Source organism: Homo sapiens, chromosome X, assembly GCF_000001405.40.
Source record: "Homo sapiens chromosome X, GRCh38.p14 Primary Assembly".
In the NCBI taxonomy this organism is placed as follows: domain Eukaryota; kingdom Metazoa; phylum Chordata; class Mammalia; order Primates; family Hominidae; genus Homo; species Homo sapiens.
The window spans coordinates 56082546-56106762 of NC_000023.11; the positions used below are offsets into that span (position 1 = coordinate 56082546).

Genomic DNA, 24217 nt, shown 5'->3' on the forward strand with positions numbered 1-24217 from the left:
AGTTGTTAATTCAAGATCTTTCTTTTTTAAAAAAGTAAGCATTTACAGCTATAAATTGCCCTTTTATCATAGTTTTCATACATCACATAAGCTCCATTCTGTTTTGCTTCCTCAGAAGATATTTTACCATTTCTCTCATGGTTTCTTCTCCTTTTAATGATTTTTTGAGTGTGTTATAGAATTTCCACAAATTTGTGAAATTTCCACTTTTTCTTACGGTACAATTTCCCATTTGTAAAGGGCAGTTTTGCCAGATGTTGAATTCTTGGTTGGCAGTTTTCTTTTTTCTTTGAGCACCTAAATATATCATTTTGCTGTCTTCTCGCCTCCATATTTTCTGTTGAGAAATCCACTGGTAGTCTTGCTGGGGATCTTTTATATGTGACAGGTCACATTTTTCTGACTACTTTCAAGACTCTGTCTTTGACTTTTGGCACTTTGAATATAATGTGCCTCTGTGTGGTTCTCCATCAGTTTAACTTATATCTAGTTAATTAAGTTTCTTGGATTTGTATATCCTTGTCTGTCCTCAAGTTTGAGAAATTTCAGCCATTTTCTTTAGGTAATTTTTCTGCCCCTTTCATGCTCTTTGATTACCACAATGTGTAAATTATTTGGCTTGATGGTGTCCCCTAAGTCCCTAAGGCTCTGTTTATTTTTTTGTGATCAATGTAAAAGTTACGTATTATATGTAAACATTTTAACAAGTTATGGAAACAAAAGTTATGAGGTTCATTTAACTCATTTAATATTTGGTTTATAACATAACATTAACATGTATCTCATAAAACCAGTGAAGTAAATGCAGGAAGTTTGAATTCTAAGAAATTTAAGCCCTTATGTTTAACAAACCAAAATATTGTGCTAGCATTATTTTATACAGTAAATTAATTATTAAAGATTCTAGAACATGCCCCCAATGTTTTTCTACCTTGAAAATAAAGCTTTTTTTGATTATCTCATAGCAATAGTAGCAGAGGCTTTTTACTTTTCAGTGCTCACTAAAAGAAACGTAATTTAATAATTTATTTTTGTTAGACTATTTGACTGTTTATCTGGGCTAGATGATCTATAGCAGGAGTCTCCAACTTCTGGGCCACAGATTAGTACCAGTCAGTGGCCTGTTAGAAACCAGGCCATACAGCTGGAGGTGAGTGGCAGATAAGTGAGTATTACTGCCTGAACTCCGCCTGCTGTCAAATCAGTGGTGATGTTTGATTCTCATAGGAGTGTGTACCCTATTGTGAACTGTGCATGTGAGGGATCTATGTTGCAGGCTCCTTATGAGACTATAACTAATGCCTGATAATCTGAGGTGGAACAGCTTCATCCCAAAACTATACTTCCCCTCCATCCATGGAAAAAATTGTCTTCCAGGAAACTGGTCCCTGGTGCCATAAAGTTTGGGGACCACTGATCTAGAGTGCATAGAAAACAACTGAATTATTTTTTGATCAGTTGATCTTTAAAATTTTACAAGACAGGAACAAATGAGAGGGGCCTATCTTCAGGCAAATATAAAATTGTCACTATAAAAAGCCAATTATAACTATAATTAAGCATGGTGGATGATGCCTGTAATCCTAGCACTTTGGAAGGCTGAAGTAGGAGGATCACTTGAGCCTAGGAGTTTGAGTCACCTGGGCAATATAGGGAGACCTTGTCCCCACATAAAATTTTTTAAAAAAATGGCCAAGCGTGGTGGCACATGCCTGTGGTCCCAGCTGCTTGGGAGGCTGCCGTGGGAGGATTGCTTTAGCCCTAGAAGTCAAGGCTGTGATGAGCTGAAATCACATCACTGCACTCCAGCCTGGGCCATAGTGAGACCCTGAAAACAAACAAACAAACAAACAAAACAAACAAAAAAAGAAATTCTTTGCTCTCTGCAAGGAAAAAAAAACATAAACATATTTTGACATATATAGGCACAACAAATGACATACAGCCAGTCTTGACATAACTTAGGCTCTTGGCAATTTTAATCAAAACATATAATTTTAAGAGGCAGAACTCATTAAGCTTCAAAGTATGGAATCAGAAGAAGGGAGGTCAACTAAACTAAATAAAGTGATCTTTGTTTTAGACAATCCATCTCCTCGTAAAGCTTTCTTTGCTTTTGGTTATCTGCAACCTCTAAAATTAATAATTTTGCTTGTTTTAAAAGCTCTTTAAAGTAGCCATTGGAATTTCAAATTCTCTGTAGTGAAATATTGTGCCAGTTAGAGAGAAAAGCATTTAAATGAGCATTATAATAAGAACACATGAAGGAAAAAAAGTGTTTAACACAAAAAAGGCACAGATTTAGATTGAGAAGTCCCCATGAGAATTCTAAGTAAGGATGCTGCCTGTGTAACTTTCTATCTCATATGATTGGCCAATGGCCAGTCATTACCAATCAAGGACTGAACAAAACCTCCTGATTCTAGACAGCTGAAAGTAAGCAAAGGAGTTCCTGGGGGTACAAAGAAAATACTTAAGAAGAAGCCTTTATAAGGTTTTGAAATGATGATTTTAGACAAATTTTGTCCAAAGAATGCTGGTCAGAGAAGATTTTCTGAGCTAATTAGCCCCAGAGAAACACTTGAAAATGAGCTTATCTGGCCTACATCCTGCCACTCTATATAGACTTTTTCTCCTGTAGACAAATAGCCCTCATCACTAGATATGTTAATTAAGGTTCTCCAGAGAAACAAAACCAAGAGGGGAGATACACACACACACCCCACATTATAGGGTATTGGCTTATGTGATTATGGAGGCTGTGAAGTTTCACAATCTGCCATCTGCAAGCTGGTGACTCAGAAAATCCAGCAGTGTAGTTCAAAGGCCTGAGAGCCAGAGACAGATTCCAGTATGGGTCTGTAGTCCTGAGAACCAGTAGCGCCGAAGACAGAATGTTCATATTTCAGCTCAGTTAAGTAGAGAAAGCAAATCTTTCCTTCATCCACCTTTTGTTCTATTCAGGCTCTCTATGTATTGGATGATGCCCACCTATATTAGTTGGACAGAGTAACCTGCTTTATTTAGTCTATCATTTCATATGCTAATCTCTTCTAGAAACGTACTTGTGGACATACTCAGAAATAATGTTTAACTAGAAAACTGGGCATCCCATGATTCAATCAAGTTTACACATGAAAGTAAGAAAAACAGATGAACCATAAGAAAAACACACATGCAATATTTTTCAGATTAGTTGACTAAAAATATATCTAGGGACTTTATTACTTGGAAAGTAAAATAAACCCAGTACTGAAGGACTTCAAGAAATATCTGAGCTCAGTTCAGCATAAACTTAACTCCCAGCCATGGCAAGATGGCAGCTTGAATATGTAGAAACATAAAGAGTCTCAGATATGCACACTATCACTGCGTCATGAGTTCTGGTCGAAGTCAGTGAGGGCTTACTGAACCTCAGTAGGTTTTCCATTTTTAATGGTACTTCTAAACAAAGACAACTAAGACCACACCTGCAGTTGAACAAATTGGATTTATTACTCATTGCAGCAAAAGAGAACACATATTACAGAAAACCAAGGACATCTCAAGAAGAAAATGTTAGAAGACCCTTACTAGGATTTGGGCTTCTGTGCGGTGATTTGGGGACGGGTACAAGGAAGCAAGGCTTTCTGTGGATTAGAAATTGTCGGGAAGCAGAAATAATTCTATGATTGGAAAACTTAGTAAATCGTATTTCTCTACTTAATTCATACTTCAGAATTTAGCTTCCAGTTCAGCCTCATTTCTTGCTGCTAGTTCCAATCTGGCCTTAGTGACTCCACCTCCCAGTGATTGATTTTCTTACTTAGAATTTTCTTGACCCTTTGAGTTCCATCCAATCGGAGGGACATGAACAGAGCAGGAAAAGAGCAAGGTTCTATAAAATATGGGGCTGAGAGCAGTCACTCCTGAGTTCAAAAACAATACTAAGTAGTTCCATGAGCATTTCTAAATATGAGGAGCTTAGAGATGACAAAGATTTGGAAATAAGATCTAGTAAGCTTGTCTTAAAGCTTTTATGTTAGTCTATAGTCTAAAGCAATAACACAGACATTTTTTTCTAAATGTAGCTTTATTCATATTCTTCTTATAGTTTATAAAATAAATATATAGGCTTCTTGTGATAATGATAATTATTATGGTTAGTAGAAGTAGTAGTAGTAGTAGTAGTTAAGGAGGTGATTAGTCAGTCTAAAACCTTCTTAAAGACACCCCTTCTTGCAAATACTAGTGGAAAGCCAAAATGTAGTTAGTAATTAGCAATGGTTTAATGTTCAGGCAATCAGCACTAAGATGTACCAGTAGATTCCCAAAACTCAAACCTAAAGAACTGGGAGCATTCTAGAATTCAGTGTTATACACTAAGCACCAAAGGACAGTGATATGTGGAGAAGGAATCCAGCCACTGGGAGACTAGAGCTCAAGAGCATGAAACCAGTCACTGGGAGATGAAGTCATTAAGGTCAGGTTGGAACTAGAAGGAATAAGCTGTTGATGCTTATCTGGAAGCCGAATTCAGAGGTGAGAATTAAGTAGAGGCCTCTATTAGGGTTAGAGGGGAATACTGATATTAACCAAACAGAACACAGGTTGCCAAGATTAGGGAAGTTTGGCTGTATTCTTTCATGAATTCATTCAGTCATTCATTCACCAGATGTTTACTGCATGCCAAATATGTAGTATGCCTGATATGGTTTGGATCTGTATCCCCACCAAATTTTATGTTGAATTGTTATCCCCAGTGTTGGAGGTGGGGCCTGGTGAGAGCTGATTGGATCATGGGGGTTTATTTCTCATGAATGGTTTAGCCCCATCCCCTTGATGCTTTTCTCATAATAGTGAGTGACTTCTTGTGACATATGCTCATTTAAAAGTGTATAGCACCCCCTCACCCCTCTCTTGTTCCTGCTCCTGCCATGTGACATGCCTGTTCCCACTTTGCCTTTCACCATGATTGTATGTTTTCTGAGGCCTCCCCAGAATTCAAGCAGATGCCAGCATCATGGTTCCTGTTCTGGTTGTGGAACTGTGAGCCAACTACACTTCTTTTCTTTATAAATTATCCAGTATCAGGTTTTTTATAGCAATGAGAGAACAGACTACTACAATGCAGTATTCCAAGCAAAGCTGCCCAATTTATTTGGAGATAATGGAGCTCTGTTCTTTAAGGCATTTTCTGTGAACAGTTATTTTTCATTAGAGTTTTCAGGCCTCTTTGAAATGAAAAATAGCATTATTTATTTAACTCTCAGAGGCTGATTATTTACTTTGTTAATCAATTAGATTATTTGTTTTTCTTTTCTATAATCTGCACGCTGTTATTGCTCAATAAATAGTTATTGGTTAATTGGTTCATTGTCTTGGGTAATTTTTTTTTTTTACCATTAGTCAATTTCATCAGATGTTGGATGAAGCAGACATAAAACTGCATTTAGTTATGAACATATAGCTATATGAACATACTGTATTTTTAGGTAACATTTATTCTCTGAAGACTCTAATCCACATACAATTGCCTTGTGTAGTGATGATTTGGGAAAATCGTTGTAAAAGGAAATATGGAAATATGGTCTTTTTTGGAAAAATTATAGTCCAAATAGAAGAAACCAATATTAGGATGCAAATAAGAATAATTCACCAGAAGCAATGCTCAGGGCAACGTATACCTAGAAAAAATAAAAACCCACCTTGAATCCTGCAAGGTATAAGAAGGGAACTGAACTTTCCATTGCACATGGAATGAGAACTGGAGTTCTTTTCTTTTTATCTGCTAGATTGATGAATATAACTATTATAAAGGAGGTGTGAAAAACATCTAAATAATGTAAATCATTTTTGTTTACAGGATATTGAGTGTATAGGTACATTTTTTTCTGTTTCTACTTCTCTATAATGAGTCACTCAAACAAACTAATAAACAAGGAGAATTAAGGATAGTAAGGATATATGTGCCACCTTATTAAAATCTTCTGAGCTCATAAGGCAGTATATCTTTCAAGTGGTATTGTATTTCATCACATACTTTCCTTTTTATTACCTGATATTTTCCCAAAGTGGCTCTGAGGACCAACTGCTCTCCTTTTCTCACTTTTATAATTCTGTTTCATTATCCTTTAATCACTGGCTAATTTCCACATCAGATTCCAGAGGGAGCCATTCTAACAGATTTGACTCATTATTATTGTCTTCATTGTACAGAGCCTTTCTCACTGGGCCATGTTATGGGTCCCCACAAGTCACACATGCTCCATTTGGGTCAGGAAAACTAGTTTAATTGGTAGTCATTCTTGCACAAAGAACAGCCTCACTATGATTTCTCAAGCAGGGAGAAAGTAAGTAGAGAAACTTTGGCTACAAGAAGGGTTGGACATGGCAGTCTATAGTCCAAAATAACATTTGTGCCTGAAATATGAACACAATCAAAGAAAAAAGTGCCTTTTCAAGCCCTTCATCTATTTCTAAGCATCATCTTTTTCTAACTCCTGACAACTGTTTTTTCCTCCCCTCTAGTAATGTATTACTTACTAGTTTTATAAAGTCATCCCCACTGCAGTATTCCACTCAGGTCCATCCACCACTGAAGTTAATATTTGCTCTAATAGTAACACTTTACTCTTACCTCTCAATTTGTCAACCTTAACTTTATTAAAAATTCTTGCTCTCTCAGTGCCAAGATCTCATCCAGAATTTACGGGAAAGAAAGGCAAAGTAATTAAAATAATATATACCAAGTAGTAAATGACTATTTAATTTTTACTAATTTCCCAAGCAGGGAAAAAGTGAGCGGAGAAGCTGTGCCTACAATAGCGGTGGTACATGGCAGTTTATAGTCGAAAATAAATAACATTTGTGTCTGAAATATTAAATAATTCAAGTCTGTGCACCCCCACACCTTATGTATGATGCTTGTTTTTATTAATCAAAATCAGTATCTAGAGGACTTTCAGTTTCCCAGTTGGCTTGTACAGAGATTATCACTCCTGTCTTAACAACAAGAAAAAAGCAGAACAAACTGAAAATCAGCGACTCCTTTTAGACTCAGCATAGAACTGAGGCCCCAGGGCAAACCAGTCTTCAAAGTTTGAGACACAGACAGGTGAATACAGAGAACCACAGTTTACTAGAGTGGATGCCTGAGAGTGGAAACTTCCATAAAGATGAGTACTGGGATGGGTAAACTTAAACTGCAATTCAAAAATTGCTGGAGGCTCAGTTTGGAAAAGCTTTGAGAATTACAAGAAAATCACCAGTCTTATGTGGACCCCACACATTTCTCAGTTTTACTTCCGTGAACACAACAAGGTTCTCACAATAAAATTCAGAAAAATTTCCTTATATTCTGGCAAGTGGAAGGGAAAAATAAGTATGCTGAAATATGCCAAGAGCATTCTTTTCTTCTTAACAAGTCCTGCTGTCCAGAGAAACTATTTTGCCAGAAGCTAACCTACTAGTTTTACCAGAGCTTAACCAAGTTGGAGGAAGGGAAATACTCAACTCCAGCTCCCTCTAACCTTCATTTATCACCTAATGGGGAAAAACAGAATCATCTGTGCAGGTCACAGCCCAGAAGCACAGGCTCATCGAAAGATTAACAGCTACACATAAAACTATAGAATGCTTTCTCAGCCTTATATGCTGCCACCACATCAACTAACAACATGGGAGACAAACTCAAGGACACAAGAAGAAAGTTTAGTATATGACAAATAGAGCTACAGCAAACAGTCAATCCAACCTAACTGCTAGACAGAAAACCATAAAGCCTCATATTAAAAGCCTATTTACCTCTGTTCCTTTTACCTAGTGAATGATGTCTGGTTTTCATTAAAAAAAATTACAAGCCAAGGTAAAAGACAAAACATGCAATACGAAGACACAGAATAAACATTAGAATCAAACTTATGTATTTCAAATGTGTTGGAATTATTAAACCAGGAATTTTAATAGCTAGGTAATATATCCATTCTTAGTGGGGATAAAATAATATCTCATTGTGGTTTTGATTTACATTACTGTGATGATCAGTGATGTTGATGTTTTTATATACCTGTTGGCCATAGTATGTCTTTTTTTGAGAAATTTCTATTCATGTTTTTGGCTCACTTAAAAAAATTAATTTTATAAATTCAGGGGGTACCCATTCAGGTTTATTACGTGGATATATTACATAGCAGTGAGGTCTGAATAGTGAACACTGTACCCAATACATAATTTTTCAACACCCATGCATCTCCCAGAGTCCCACCTTTTTGAGTCCTCAGCGTCTATTTTTCCCCTCAGTCCATGTGTGCCAATTAATTAGTTCCCACTTGTAAGTGAGAATATATGGTATTTCATTTTCTGTTTCTGAGTTATTTCACTTATGATAGTGGCTTCTAGCTGTGTTCATGTTGCTGCAGAAAACGTAATTTTATTTTTAACGCTCAGTAGTATTCCGTGGTTTACACATACCACGTTTTCTTCATCCATTCCTCCATTGATGGACACCTATGTTGATTCCATGACTTTGCTATTGTGAATAGTGATGTAATGATATGGTTTTGCTCTGTGTCCCCACCGAAATCTCATCTCCAGTTTTAATCCCCATAAACCCCACATGTCGAGGGTGGGACCTGGTGAGAGGTGATTGGATCATGGAGGCAGTTTCCACCATGCTATTCTTGTGATAATGAGTGAGTTCTCATGAGATCTGATGGTTTTATAAGGGGCTTTTCCCCCATCACTTGTTTTCTCTCTCCCTCACCTGCCGCCGTGTAAGACATGCCTTTGCTTCTCTCTCACCATCCACCATGATTTTAAGTTTCCTGAGGCCTCCCCAGCCGTGTGGAACTGTGAGTCAATTACACCTATTTCTTTTATAAATTACCCAGTCTCGGGTGTGTCTTTATAGCAGAGTGAGAACTGATTAATACATGTGATAAACATAAAAGTATAGGTATCTTTTTGATATAATTATTTATTTATTTATTGAGACAGAGTCTTGCTCTGTCACCCAGCCTGGAGTGCAGTGGTGTGATCTCGGCTCACTGCAACCTCCGCCTCTCAGGTTCAAGCAAATCTCCTGCCTCAGCCTCCTGAGTAGCTTGGATTACAGGTGTGCCACCATGCCTGGCTAATTTTTGTATTTTTAGTAGAGAAAGGGTTTCACCATGTTAGCCAGAATAGTCTTGACCTCCTGACCTCAGATGATCCACCCAGTTTGGCCTCCCAAAGTGCTGGAATTACAGGCATGAGCCATCGTGCCTAGCTGATATAATGATTTATTTTCCCTGGGGTAAATATCCAGTATTGCAATTGCTAGATTGAATGCTAGTTCCATTTTTAGTTTCTTGAGAAATCTCCATGGTATTTTCCACAGAGGTTTTACTAATTTACACTCCCACCAACAGTGTATAAGTATTTCCTTTTCTCCACGTCCTCACCAACATCTATTGTTTTTTTTTTTTTTTTTGACTTTTTAATGATAGACATCTCACTGGTGTAAGATGGTATCTGATTGCATGGTTTTAACTTGCATTTCTCTGATGATTGCTGATGTTGAGTTTTTTTTGTTTCTTGGTTGCTTGTGTGTCCTCACTTGAAAAATGTCTTTTCTTGTCCTTTGCCCATTTTTAAATAGGGTTATTTGTTTTATTCCTGTTGAATTGAGTTTCTTGTAGATTCCAGATATTAGTCCCCTGTTAGATAAATAACTTGCAAATACTTTCTTCCATTCTGTAGATTTTCTGTTCACTCTGCTGATTATTTCTTTTGCAGTGCAGAAACTTTTTAATTTAATTAAGTCCAATATTTTTGTCATTGCTTTTGAGGTCTTACTCATGTTTTTTGTGTAGACCAATGTCCAGGACAGTTTTCTTTATGTTTTCTCCTAATATTTTTATAGTTTTGGGTCTTTAATCCACTTTGGGTTGATTTTTGTGTATGGTGAGAGATAAGAGTCTAGTTTCATTGTTATGCATGTGACTATCCAACTTTCCCAGCACCACTTATTTAAGAGGGTGTCCTTTCCCCAGTGTAAATTCTTATTATCCTTGCTGGAGATCATTTTAGCTTTATTTGTTGGTTCTCTATTCTGTTCCATTTGTCTGTGTGTCTGTTTTATACTAATACTATTCTGTTTTGAATAATGTAGCCTGGAAATGTATTTTGAAGTCAGACAATGTGATGCCTCCAGCTTTTTTTTTTTCTTAGAATTGCTTTGGTTTAAGATAGCCATAATTAATATTCAAAGGGCTCTAATGGAAAAAGAAGAAAATATGCAAGACTGTCTGAGTAATGTAAGTAGAGAGATGAAAACTCTGTCACAGAATCAAAAGGAAATGCTATAAATTAAAACCTCTCCAGCAGAAATGACATATGCCTTAGATGAGCTCATCGATGGACTGGAAACAGCTGAGAAAAAAAATCAGTGAGCTTAAATAAATGTCAAAAGAAATTACCAAAACTTAAATGCAAAGAAGAAAATGAATGAAAAAAAAAAAACAGAACAGAATACCCAAGAACTGTGGGACAACTACAAAAAGTGTGACACGCATGTAATAAAAATATCCGAAGCAGAAAAAAGAGAAGAAACAGAAGAAATGTTTGAAACAGTGATGCCTGAAAATTTTCCAAAAGTAATAATAAACAACAAACCAGAAATCCAGGTAGCTCTTAGAACACCCAGCAGGATAAATATCAAAAAATCTATACCTAGGCATATTGTATTCAAATTACAGAAATCAAAGACAAATAGAAAAATTTGAAAGAAACCAATGAAGAGAAACACCTTACCTACTTACCTATAGAGAAGCAAAAATATAAATTTGATCAGATTTCTCTTCATAAGTCATGCAAACAACAAGAGAGTGGAGTAAGGTATTTATAAAGTGTTGAAGGAAGTTAAAATAACCTAGAATTATGTATGTAACAAAATTGGCTTTTAAAATGAAGGAGCAACAAAGACATTCACAGGCAAAGACTGAGGAAATTTGATGCCAATAGACCTGCCTTACAACAAATGTAAAAATAAATCCTTTATAAGAAAGGAAAATGATATAGGTCAGAAGCTTGGACCAAAATTAAAAAAAAGGAGTATTAGAGGAAAAATAAATAAAATACTTATATATTTTTATTTTTAGTTTATGTAACATAACAGTTTGCTCAAAATATTAATAATAGTCTGCTCAAAATAACAGCAACAAAATATTTAATAATTACACATTTTGCATAAGTCAAATGCAGTACAATAATGTTATAAAGGATGAGGGGAAGAGTTGGGAATACTCTTTTATAACTTGCTTGCACTACTATGAAGTGATATAATGTAATTTGAAAGACTACATGGATTAATTGTAAATGGCAACAACGTATATATTATATGTGTGTGTGTGTGTGTGTGTGTGTGTGTGTGTGTGTGTGTGTGTATGAGAGAGAACCGAATGCTAAGAGAGGAGATAAATGGAATTATATAAAGTGTTTAATTGAAACAAGAAGGTAGAAAATGAGTGATAGACAAAATAGGGCAGGAAGAACAAGGACAATGAGTAGAAAAGTGTACCAAATATGGTAAATATTGGTCCAACTACATTAATAATCATTTTATACATCAGGAGTCCAAATACACCAATTAAAAGACATAGAGTCTCAGGGTAAATTTAAAAAACTAGATCCAACTATGCTATTTACGAAAAACAGACTTTAAATATAAAGACCTAGATAGGTTATAAGTAAAGGGGTGGGAAAAGATATTTCATGTTAACTCCAACCAAAGAAAGTTTTGGTAAGGATATTAATTTTAGCCAAAGCAAATTTCAGAGAAAGAAAAATTGCCAGTTATCAAGACATGCATTATATAATGACTAAGTACAAATTATCCAATTAAACATAAATATATTAACGTGTATGTACTTAACAACACAGTGCCAAAATATAGGAGGCCAAAACTGGCAAAACTGCAAGAAAAATAAATAAAGTAACCATTATAGTTAAAGATATTAATATCCCTCTCTCAGTAATTATCAGATCCAGCAGGTAGACAATCAAACAGGATATTGTTAAACTAAAAGACGCCATCAAAAAAACGTATCTAATTGATATCTATAAAATACTTTTTCCAAGACCAGAGCACTACATATTCTGCTAAAATGCACATGCCAAGAGAGACCACAATCTGGGCCATAAAGTACAATTTAACAAATTTAAAACAGTAAAATTATACAAAATGTGCTCCCAAACAACAATGGAATTAAACTAGAAATCAATAACAGAATGATAGCTAGAAAGCCCAAAACACGTAGAGGTAAAATCCACTCTTTTAAGTAACATATAGGTCAAAATTGGTATGAAAGAACATACCATGCTCTTGCATTGGATGAACCAATGTCATTAAAATGATCATGCTGCCCAAAGAAATCTACAGATTTCACATAGTCTCCATGAAACTATCAATGCCCTTCACGAAATTAGGAAAAACAATTGAAAAGTTCCAACAGAACAAAAAAGAACCTGAATAGCCAAAGCAATCTTGAGAAAAAAATGGACAAAGCTGGAGGTATTATATTACCTGAAAACAGCATGGCACTGGTATAAAAATAGACATGTAAATCCATGGAACAGAATAGAGAACCTAGAAATAAAACACCATACCTACAACTAGCTGTTCTTTCACAAAGCCAACAAAAATATATACTGGGGAATGTACACCCTATTCAATAAATGGTACTGGGAAAATTAAATGGCTACATGCAGAAGAATGAAACTGGAACCCTATTTCTCACCATATACAAAAACTAACTCAAGATGGTTTAATACTTAAATGTAAGACTCAAAACTATAAGAACACTAGAAGAAAACTCAGGAAAAACTCTTTTGGACATTGGCCTATGCCAAGAATTTATGACCAAGTCCTCAAAAGCAAATACAATAGAAAAGTAGACAAATGGGACTTAAAGAGCTTCTGCACAGCAAAAAAAAAGCTAGAGTAAACAGACAACCTACAGAATGGAAAATATATTTGCAAACTAAGCATTCAGCAAAGGGCTAATATCTAGAATCTACAAGGAACTCAAACAAGACAACAGGAAAAAAACAAATAATATTATTTAAAAATGGGAAGGGATATGAACAACCATTCTTTAAAAAAAAGACATACGAGTGACTAAGAAACATAAAAAATCCTCAACATCACTAATCATCAGAGAAATGAAAGTTAAAACCGCAATTAGATACCATCTCACACCAATCAGGATGGCTATCATTAAAAAGTAAAAAATCAGCAAATGGTGGGGATGCAGAGAAAAAGGAATACTTATACTCTGTTGGTGGGAATGTAAATTAGTACAACCTCTATGGAAAACACTATGGAGACTTCTCAAGTAACTAAAAATAGAATTATTATTCTATTCAGCAATCACATTACTGGATATCATCCAAAGGAAAATAAATCATTATATCAAAAATATACCCACACTCATGTATTTATCATAGCACTATTTACAATAGCAAAGTCATGGAATCAACATAAGTGTTCATCAATGGATGATTGAATAAAGAAAATATGGTATATATCACGGAATACTACACAGACATAAAACAGAATGAAATCATGTCTTTTGCAGCAACATGGATGGAACTGGAGGCCATTATCCTAGATGAAATTACTCAGAAACAGAGCGCCAAATACTACGTATTCTCACTTATAAGTGGGAGCTGAAGAATGGGTGCATCTAGCATAAAGAGTGGAATAACAGACATTGGAAACTACAAAATATGCGAGGGTAGGAGGCATGAGGGTTGAAAAATTACCTATTGGGTAATATGTACACTGTGGGTGATAGGTACACTAAAAGCCCAGACCTCACCACTATGCAATATATGCATGTAAGAAATCTGCATTTGTACCCCTTAAATCCATGAAAATTTTAAAAATGGTATCTCAAGAGAAATTTCTACATGTTTAAAATAAAATGAAAATGAAAATACAAATTATCAAAATTTGTGGGATGCAACAAAAGCAGGGATTAGTGGGAAAGTTATAATATGAATGTATATATTAAAGATCTAAAAATCAATAGTGTCTTTTATCTGAGGAAAATAGAACAAATTACATTCAAAGAAGCAGAACAAATGTTAGAGCAGAAATTAATGCAATTGTAAACAGGAAAACAATAGGGAATATCAACAAAATCAAAAGCTGATTATTTGAAAACATCAACAAAATTGATGAACTCTAGACAGGCTAATCTAAAAATGGAGATTATGTAAATTACTAATATGAGAAATAAGATAATTTTAGTAATTTAAATTTTAAATTCAGTAATTTACTGAATTTGAGGGCATTAAGATGATACTAAACATTTACTGAATTCGAGGGCATTAAAATGACACTAAAAGAACATTGTGAACAACTCTATGCCTATAAATTTTGTAAACTAGATAAAATTAACCAACCTTGAAAGACACAATGTCAAAGCACAAAAAAAAGATACAAATAAATATCTTTTGTGAACATAGATGCAAAAATTTCCCCAAAATATTAGCAAATCAGGTTCAACCATGTACAAAAGTAATTATACTACACAAACAACTGTGATTAAGTTCAGGTGTGTCTAATGCTGATTTAGTATTCAAAAATCAATAAATGTAATTCATCACATCTGCAAGCTAAAGAAGAAAAATTATATGATCATATCAACAGATGCTGAAAAAGTATTTGACAAAGCTGCGTGTGGAGAAGTCCCAGCTTTTTGGGAGATTGAGGCTGGAGGATCAGTTGATCCTGGAAGTATGTGAGAAAATTTCTACACCCTTTCTTTCTTTTTTTTTTTTTTTTTCTGAGGCAGGGTACAGGCTGAAGTGCAGTGGCATGACTATAGCTCACTGCAGCCTTTACTTCTGGGGCTCAAGCTATCCACCCACCTCAGGGTCTCAGGTAGCTGGGATTACATGTGTGTGCACCACACCCAGCTAATTTTCAACAATCACTCTTTTATTATTATTATTATTATTATACTTTAAGTTTTAGGGTACATGTGCGCAATGTGCAGGTTAGTTACATATGTATACATGTGCCATGCTGGTGTGCTGCACCCATTAACTCATCATTTAGCATTAGGTATATCTCCTAATGCTATCCCTCCCCCTCCCCCCACCCCACAACAGTCCCCAGAGTGTGATGTTCCCCTTCCTGTGTCCATGTGTTCTAATTGTTCAATTCCCATCTCAATCACTCTTAATAAAAGCTGTCAGCAAACTAGAAAATAGAGGAGAATTTTGTTAAATTGATAAAAGTGGATCTAAAAAAACCCTACAGTTAACATCATACATAGTGGTGACAAACTAGATCAGTAACAAAGCAAGGATATTTGCTCTTACCACTCCTATTCAGCATCATATTGGAAGTCCTAGTTCTTGACTCCTCCAAATTTCATATTGAGATTTGATCCCCAATATTAGAGATAGGGCTTAATAGGAGGTGTTTGTATCATGGAGGCATATAACTACATAGATTAATGCTCTCCCTAGGAGGTAGGGGCTGAGTGATTTCTTTCTATATTAGTTACCACAAGAACTGGTTGTTAAAAAGAGCCTGGCACTTCCCATCTCTCTCTTGCTTCCTCCCTTTCCATGTGGTCTCTGCACATGCTGGCTCCCTTTCACCTTCTGCTATGAATGGAAGTAACCTGTGGCCATTGCCAGATGCATATCCCTAATCTTGAACTTTTCCAGACATCAGAACTATAAGCCAAATAAACTTTTAAAAAATAAATTACCCAGCCTCAAGTATTCATTTATAGCAACACAAACCAACTTAGACACCTAGCCAATGTGATAAACAAAGAAAAGGAAACAAAAGGTATATAAAAAGTGAGGTTTATCTCTGGGAATCAAGGATGTTTCAACTTATGAAAATCAATTAATGTGATACACCATGTTTACAAATTAAAGAACAAAGACCACATGATTATCTCAATGGATGCAGAAATGACATTTGGCAAAATTAAGTATCCTTTTATGATTAAAAAAAATAACTCTCAACCAGGAAGAGAAAAAAAGTACCTCAACTCAATAAAGGCTGTATATGAAAAGCTTCCAGGTAACATTATACTCATTGGTGAAAAACTGAAAGCTTTTCATCTAAGATCAGAAACAAGGCAAGAATGCCCGCTCTCACCACCTGAATCAACATAGCATTGGAAGTCGTAGCCAGAGGAATCAGGCAAGAGAAAGAAATAAAAAACACCCAAATTGGAAGAGAAGCATTAAAATTGTCTCTCTTGCAGATGACATGATTTTATATTTAAGATTACCAAGACTCCACCAAAAAACTCTTAAAGTTGATAAAGAAATTAAGTAATTTTGCAGGATACAAAATCAACATACAAAAATCCGTTGCATTTCTTTACAAAAAGGATGAACTATCTAAAAAGGAAATTAATAAAAACAATCCCATTTTAAACTACCATATGATCCAGCAGTCTTATTTCTGAGTAACAAGACATATGTCACTTTATTGTGCTTCACTCTTTACTGCACTTTGCAGATGTGTTTTCACAGAAACACCACATGCTAACAGGTATCAATCCTATGTTGAGCAAGTTTATTAGTGCCATTTTTCAACATCATGTGCTCATTTTGTGTCTCTGTCTTACATTTTGCTAATTCTTACAAGATTTTTAACTTTAAAATTATTATTATATCTGTTACGGTGATCTGTGGTAATCTTTGATATTATTATTTTAATTTGTTTGGGGCACCAAGAACTGCACCCATATAAGATGGTAAACTTAATTGAGAAATGTTATGTGTGTTGTTTTTCTCACTAGCCATTCCTTCACTTCTGTTTCTCTCCTCAGACCTCTCTATTCCCTATGACACAACAATATTAACTTAGGTAAATTAGTAACCCTGCAATGCCCTCTAAGTGTTCAAGTGAAAGGAAGAGTCAAATATCTCCCAGTTAAAATTAATAGCTAGAAATGATTAAGCTTAGTGAGAAAGTCTTGCCAAAAGGGAAGATAGACTGAAAGCTAGGCCTCTTGCATTCAACAATTAGCCAAGTTATGAATGCGAATGAAAAGCGCTTAAGACAAACTAAAAGGATGACTCTGGTAAACACACCAACACGAATGCAAAACAGCCTTGTTGATGATATGGAGTTTTATTGTCTGCACGGAAGATCAAACCAGCCACAACATTCCTTTATGCCAAGGTCTAATCCAGAGAAAGTCCTTAACTATTAAATTTCATGAAGACTGAGAGTGTTGAAGAGGCTGCAGAAGAAAAGTTGGAAACCAGAATGATGGTTCTTGAGGTTTAAGAAAAGAAGCCATTTCCATAACATAAAAGTGCAAGGTGAAGCAGCAAGTGCTGATGTAGAAACTGCAGGAAATTATCCAGAAGATCTGGCTAAGATAATTGATAAAAGTGGCTACATTAAACAGCAGATTGTCAATGTAGACAAAAGGAGCCTTATATTTTACTAAGATGCCATCTGGGACTCTCATACCTAGAGAAGAGAAGTCAATGCCTGGCTTCAAAGCTTCGAAAGACAGGCTGAATGTCTTCTTAGGGGCTACTCCAGCTGGGGACTTGAAGTTGAAGTCAGTGCTCATTCACCATTCCGAGAACCCAAGGGCTCTTAAGAATCATTCTAAATCTACTCTGCTTGTGCCCTATAAAAGGAAGAACAAAGCCTGGATGACAACATATCTGTTTACAGCATAGTTTAATGAATATTTTAAGCCCACAATTGAGACACTGCTTAGAATAAAAAATATTCTTTTCAAAATAGTACTGATCATTGACTGTGCACCTGGTCACCCAAGCTCTGATGAAAATGTACAGGAGATTAATGTTGTTTGTATGGCTAAGACAACATCCATTCTGTAGCCCGTGGATCAAAAAGTAATTTTGACTTTCAAACATTATTAAGAAATACATTTTGTAAGACAGCAGTTGCCATAGATACTAATTTCTCTGATGGATCTTAGCAAAGTAAATGGAAAACCTTCTGGAAAGGATTTGAAGGGTTTGTCATTCTAGGTGTTATTAAGAACATTTGTGATTTATGTGAGAAGGGCAAAATATCAACATTAACAGGAGTTTGGAAGAAGTTGGTTCCAACCCTCATGGGTGACTTTGAGAGGTTCAAGAATTCAGCCAAAGAAACACCTGCAAGATGTGGTGGAAATCACAAGAGAACTAGAATTAGAAGTAGAGCCTGAAGCTATTACTAAATTGCTGCAGTCTTGCGATAAAACTTGAATGGATGAGGAATTGTTTCTTATGGATGAGCAAATAAAGTACTTTCATTTTTTAAGCATCTTTATTTAGATATAAGTCACATATCATAAACATCATACATTTAAAGTGTGCGGTGCAATGATTTTTAGTATATTCACAATTTTGCAACTATCATTACAATCTATTATTAGAACATTTTTTCAAGTGTTATTTTACATTCAGGGGGTACTTGTGCAGGTTTGTTACATGGGTATATTGCATGATGCTGAGGTTTGGGATATGGATGATTCTGTCACCCATGTAGCGAGCATAGTAACCAATAGGTAGTTTTTCAGATAGTGCACCTCTCCCATACTTTTTCCTCTAGTAGTCTCCAGTGTCTGTTGTTCCCATCTTTATGTGCATGTGTACTCAAAGTTTAGCTTCCACTTATAAATGAGAACATGTGGCATTTTGCTTTCTGTTCTTGTGTTAAATCTTCTAGGATGATAGCTTTCAGCTGCATCCGGTTGCTGTAAAGGACATGATTTTATTCTTTTTTATGGCTGCATATAATTACACGGTCTATATGTACCATATTTTCTTGATCCAATCTACCACTGACAGACATCTAGATTGACTCCATGTCTATGTTATTGTGAATAGCACTGTGAAGAATGTAGTAGTGCATGTGACCTTTTGACAGAGGTATTTTCCTTTGGATATACAACCAGTAATGGGATTCCTTCGTCAAATGGTAGCTCCATTTTAATTTCATTAAGAAATCTCCAAACTGCTTTCCACAGTGGCTAAACTAATTTACATTCCCACCAACAGTGTATAAGCATTCCATTTTCTCCTCAGCCTCACCAGCATCTGTTAATTTATGACATTTAAATAACAGCCACTCTGGTATCTTGCTGTTTTGATTTGCATTTCTCTGAAGACTAGTGATGGAGAACATTTTTTCTTATGCTTCTTGGCTGATTGTATGTCTTCTTTTGAGAAGTGCCTGTCCATGTCCTTTGCCTGTTTTTTAATAAGTTCATTTGATATTTACTTCTTGATTTGCTTAGGTTCCTTATGCATTTGGATATTGGACCTTTGTCAGATGCATAGTTTGCAAATGTTTTCTCCCATTCTGTAGGTTGTCTGCTTACTCTGTTGATAGCTTCTTTTGCTGTGCAGAACCCCTCTAGTTTAGTTAGGTCCCACTTCTCAATTTTTGTTTTTGTTGCTATTGTTTTTTAGGAATTCAGCCAAAAATTATTTCCTGAGACTGGTATAAAGAAGGGAATTTCCTAGGTTTTTCTCTAGTATTTTTATAGTTTGAAGTCTTATATTTAAATCTTTAATCCATCTTGATTTAATTTTTGTTTATGGTGAAAGCTATGTGTTTATTTTTAATCTTCTGCATATGGCTGGCCAGTTATCCCAGCACCATTTATTAAATAAGGAGTCCTTTCCTTATTGCTCGTTTTTGTCAGCTTTCTTGAAGATAGATGGTTGTAGGCATGTGGCTTTATTTCTATAGGATCTCTATTCTATTCCATCGGTTTATGTATTGCTTTTGTAGCAGTACCATGCTATTTTGGTTACTCTAGCCTTGTAATACAGCTTAAAGTCAGGTAGTTTGAAAACTCCAGTTCTGTTCTTTTTCCTTAGGATTGCTTTGGCTATTGAGGCTCTATTTTGGTTCCGCATGTATTTTAGAATAGTTTTTTTCCCTCTAATTCTGTGAAAAAAATGATGTTGTTAGTTTGATAGGAATAGGTATGAATCTATAAATTTCTTTGGGCAGTATGGCCATTTTAACAATATTGGTTCTTCCATTTCATGAACATGGGGTGTTTTTCTATTTAGTTGTGTCATCTCTGATTTCGTTCAGCAGGATTTTAAAATTCTTCTTGTAGAAATGTTTCACCTCTTGGTTACCTGTATTTCTCGATATTTCATTTATTTTGGCTATTGTAAATGGGATTGTATTCTTTTTTATTTCTTATTTTTATTTTTTTATTATACTTTAAGTTCTAAGGTACATGTGCAAAACTTGCAGGCTTGTTGCATATGTATACATGTGACATGTTGGTGTGCTACACCCATTAACTCGTCATTTGCATTAGGTATATCTCCTAATGCTATCCCTCCCCCCTCCCCCCACCCCACAACAGTCCCCGGGGTGTGATGCTTTATGAGTTCTTATGGAGGTTTCATTATGATTAAACCGTTGACCATTGGTGATCAACTCAATCTCTAGCCCCTCTCTCCTCCTCAGAGGTTGCATTATTTCTGAGGGCTCTGTTCTGTTCCATTGGTCTATATCTCCATTTTGGTACCAGTACCATGCTGTTTTGGTTACTGTAGCCTTGTAGTATAGTTTGAAGTCAGGTAGCATGATGCCTCCAGCTTTGTTCTTTTGGCTTAGGATTGACTTGGCAATGTGGGCTCTTTTTTGGTTCCATATGAACTTTAAAGTAGTTTTTTCCAATTCTGTGAAGAAAGTCATTGGTAGCTTGATGGGGATAGCATTGAATCTATAAATTACCTTGGGCAGTATGGCCATTTTCACGATACTGATTCTGCCTATCAATTAGCATGGAATGTTCTTCCATTTGTTTGTATCCTCTTTTATTTCATTGAGCAGTGGTTTGTAGTTCTCCTTGAAGAGATCCTTCACATCCCTTGTTAGTTGGATTCCTAGGTATTTTATTCTCTTTGAAGCAATTGTGAATGGGAGTTCACTCATGATTTGGCTCTCTATTTGTCTATTATTGGTGTATAGGAATGCTTGTGATTTTTGCACATTGATTTTGTATCCTGAGACTTTGCTGAAGTTGCTTATCAGCTTAAGGAGATTTTGGGCTGAGACAATGGGGTTTTCTAAATATACAATCATGTCATCTGCAAACAGGGACAATTTGACTTCCTCTTTCCCTAATTGAATACACTTTATTTCTTTCTCCTGCCTGATTGCCCTGGCCAGAACTTCCAACATTATGTTGAATAGGAGTGATGAGAGTGGGCATGCCTTTCTTGTGCCAGTTTTCAAAGGGAATGCTTCCAGTTTTTGCCCATTCAGTATGATATTGGCTGTGGGTTTGTCATAGATAGCTCTTATTATTTTGAGATACGTCCCATCAATACCTAATTTATTGAGAGTTTTTAGCATGAAGGGCTGTTGAATTTTGTCAAAGGCCTTTTCTGCATCTATTGAGATAACCATGTGGTTTTTGTCTTTGGTTCTGTTTATATGCTGGATTATGTTTATTAATTTGCATATGTTGAACCAACCTTGCATCCCAGGGATGAAGCCCACTTGATCATAGTGGATAAGCTTTTTGATGTGCTGCTGGATTCAGTTTGCCAGTATTTTAGTTAGGAGTTTTGCATCAAGGTTCGTCAGGGATATTGGTCTGAAATTCTCTTTTTTTTGTTGTGTTTCTGCCAGGCTTTGGTATCAGGATGATGCTGGCCTCATAAAATGAGTTAGGGAGGATTCCCTCTTTTTCTATTGATTGGAATAGTTTCAGAAGGAATGGTGCCAGCTCCTCCTTGTACCTCTGGTAGAATTCGGTTGTGAATCCATCTGGTCCTGGACTTTTTTTGGTTGGTAAGCTATTGATTATTGCCATATAACTTCAGAGCCTGTTATTGGTCTATTCAGAGATTCAGCTTCTTCCTGGTTTAGTCTTGGGAGGGTGTATGTGCCCAGGAATTAATCCATTTCTACTAGATTTTCTAGTTTATTTGCATAGAGGTGTTTATAGTATTCTCTGATGGTACTTTGTATTTCTGTGGGATCGGTGGTGATATTCCCTTTATCATTTTGATTGCATCTATTTGATTCTTCTCTCTTTTATTCTTTTTTAGTCTTGCTAGAGGACTATCGATTTTGTTGATCTTTTCAAAAAACCAGCTCCTGGATTCATTGATTTTTTGAAGGGTTTTTTGTGTCTCTATCTCCTTCAGTTCTGCTCTGATCTTAGTTATTTCTTGCCTTCTGCTAGCTTTTGAATGTGTTTACTCTTGCTTCTCTAGTTCTTTTAATTGTGATGTTAGGGTGCCAATTTTAGATCTTTCCTGCTTTCCCTTGTGGGCATTTAGTGCTATAAATTTCCCTCTACACACTGCTTTAAATGTGTCCCAGAGATTCTGGTACGTTGTGGCTTTGTTCTGATTGATATCAAATAACATCTTTATGTCTGCATTCATTTCATTATGTACCCAGTAGTCACTCAGGTGCAGGTTGTTCAGTTTCCATGTAGTTGTGTGGTTTTGAGTGAGTTTCTTAATCCTGAGTTCTAATTTGATTGCACTGTGGTCTGAGAGACAGTTTGTTGTGATTTGTGTTCTTTTACGTTTGCTGAGGAGTGCTTTACTTCCAATTATGTGGTCAATTTTGGAATAATGTGATGTGGTGCTGAGAAGAATGTATATTCTGTTGATTTGGGGTGGAGAGTTCTATAGATGTCTATTAGGTCCACTTGGTGCAGAGCTGAGTTCAAGTCCTGGATATCCTTGTTAACCTTCTGTCTCATTGATCTGTCTAATATTGTCAGTGGGGTGTTAAAGTCTCACATTATTATTGTGTGGAAGTCTAAGTCTCTTTGTAGGTCTCTAAGGACTTGCTTTATGAGTCTGGGTAGTGCTGTATTGGGTACAAATATATTTAGGATAGTTAGCTCTTCTTGTTGAACTGATCCCTTTACCATTATGTAATGGCCTTCTTTCATTCTTTGTTGGATGAAACTGTGGTTTATCAAAGACTAGAACTGCAACCCCTGCTTTTTTTTTTTTCTTTCCATTTGCTTGGTAGATCTTCCTCCATCCCTTTATTTTGAGCCTATGTGTGTCTCTGCATGCGAGATGGGTCTCCTGAATACAGCACACTGATGGTTCTTGACTCTTTATCCAATTTGCCAGTCTGTGTCTTTTAATTGGGGCATTTAGCACATTTGCATTTAAGGTTAATATTGTTATGTGTGAATTTTATCCTGTCATTATGTCATTATGATGTTAGGTAGTTATTTTGCCCATTAATTTATGCCATTTCTTCATAGCATCAATGGTCTTTACAATTTGGCATGCTTTTGCAGTGGCTGGTATCTGTTGTTCCTTTCCATGTTTAGTGCTTCTTTGGGGAGCTCTTGTAAGGCAGGCCTGGTGGTGACAAAATCTCTCAGCATTTGCTTGTCTGTAAAGGATTTTATTTATCATTCACTTATGAAGCTGAATTTGGTTGGATGTGAAATTCTGGGTTGAAAATTCTTTTCTTTAAGAATGTTGAATATTGGCCCCCACTCTCTTCTGGCTTATAGGATTTTTACCGAGAGACAGCTGTTAGTCTGATGGGCTTCCCTTTTTGCATAACCTGACATTTCTGTCTGGCTGCCCTTAACATGTTTTCCTCCATTTCAGTGTTGGTAAATCTGATGATTATATGTCTTGGGATCCTCTTCTCAAGGAGTATCTTTGTGGCATTCTATGTATTTCCTGAATTTGAATATTGGCCTGCCTTGCTAGGTTGGGGAAGTTCTGATGGATAATATTCTGAAGAGTGTTTTCCCTCTTAGTTCCATTCTCCCCATCACTTTCAGGTACACCAATCAGACGTAGAGTTGGTCTTTTCACATAGTCCCATATTTCTTGAAGGCTTTGTTCATTTGTTTTTACCCCTTTTTCTCTAAACTTGTCTTCTGGCTTCATTAATTTGATCTTCCATCACTGATACCCTTTCTTCCATTTGATCGAATCAGCTACTGAAGCTTGTGCATGCATCATGAAGTTCTTGTGCCATGGTTTTCAGCTCCATCAGGTCACTTAAGTTCTTCCCTGCACTGTTTATTCTAGTTAGCCGTTTGTCTAACCTTATTTCAAGGTTTTTAGCTTCCTTGCAATGGGTTAGAACATGTTCCTTTAGCTCATAGAAGTTTGTTATTACCAACCTTCTGAAGCCTACTTCTGTCAACTCATCAAAGTCGTTCTCTGTCCAGCTTTGTTCCATTGCTGGCAA

At 35.9% G+C, this 24217-nt stretch overlaps 1 protein-coding gene and 1 long non-coding RNA gene across 3 annotated transcripts in view; both read left to right on the forward strand.

Moving 5' to 3' along the window:
• KLF8 (KLF transcription factor 8) overlaps positions 1 to 24217 on the forward strand; it is a 383409-nt gene that overhangs the window by 174423 nt on the left and 184769 nt on the right. The window lies entirely within an intron of this gene.
• The window catches only part of LOC124900486 (uncharacterized), a 150609-nt gene that overhangs the window by 28061 nt on the left and 98331 nt on the right, over positions 1 to 24217 (forward strand). The gene's annotated exons all lie outside the window — the stretch shown is intronic.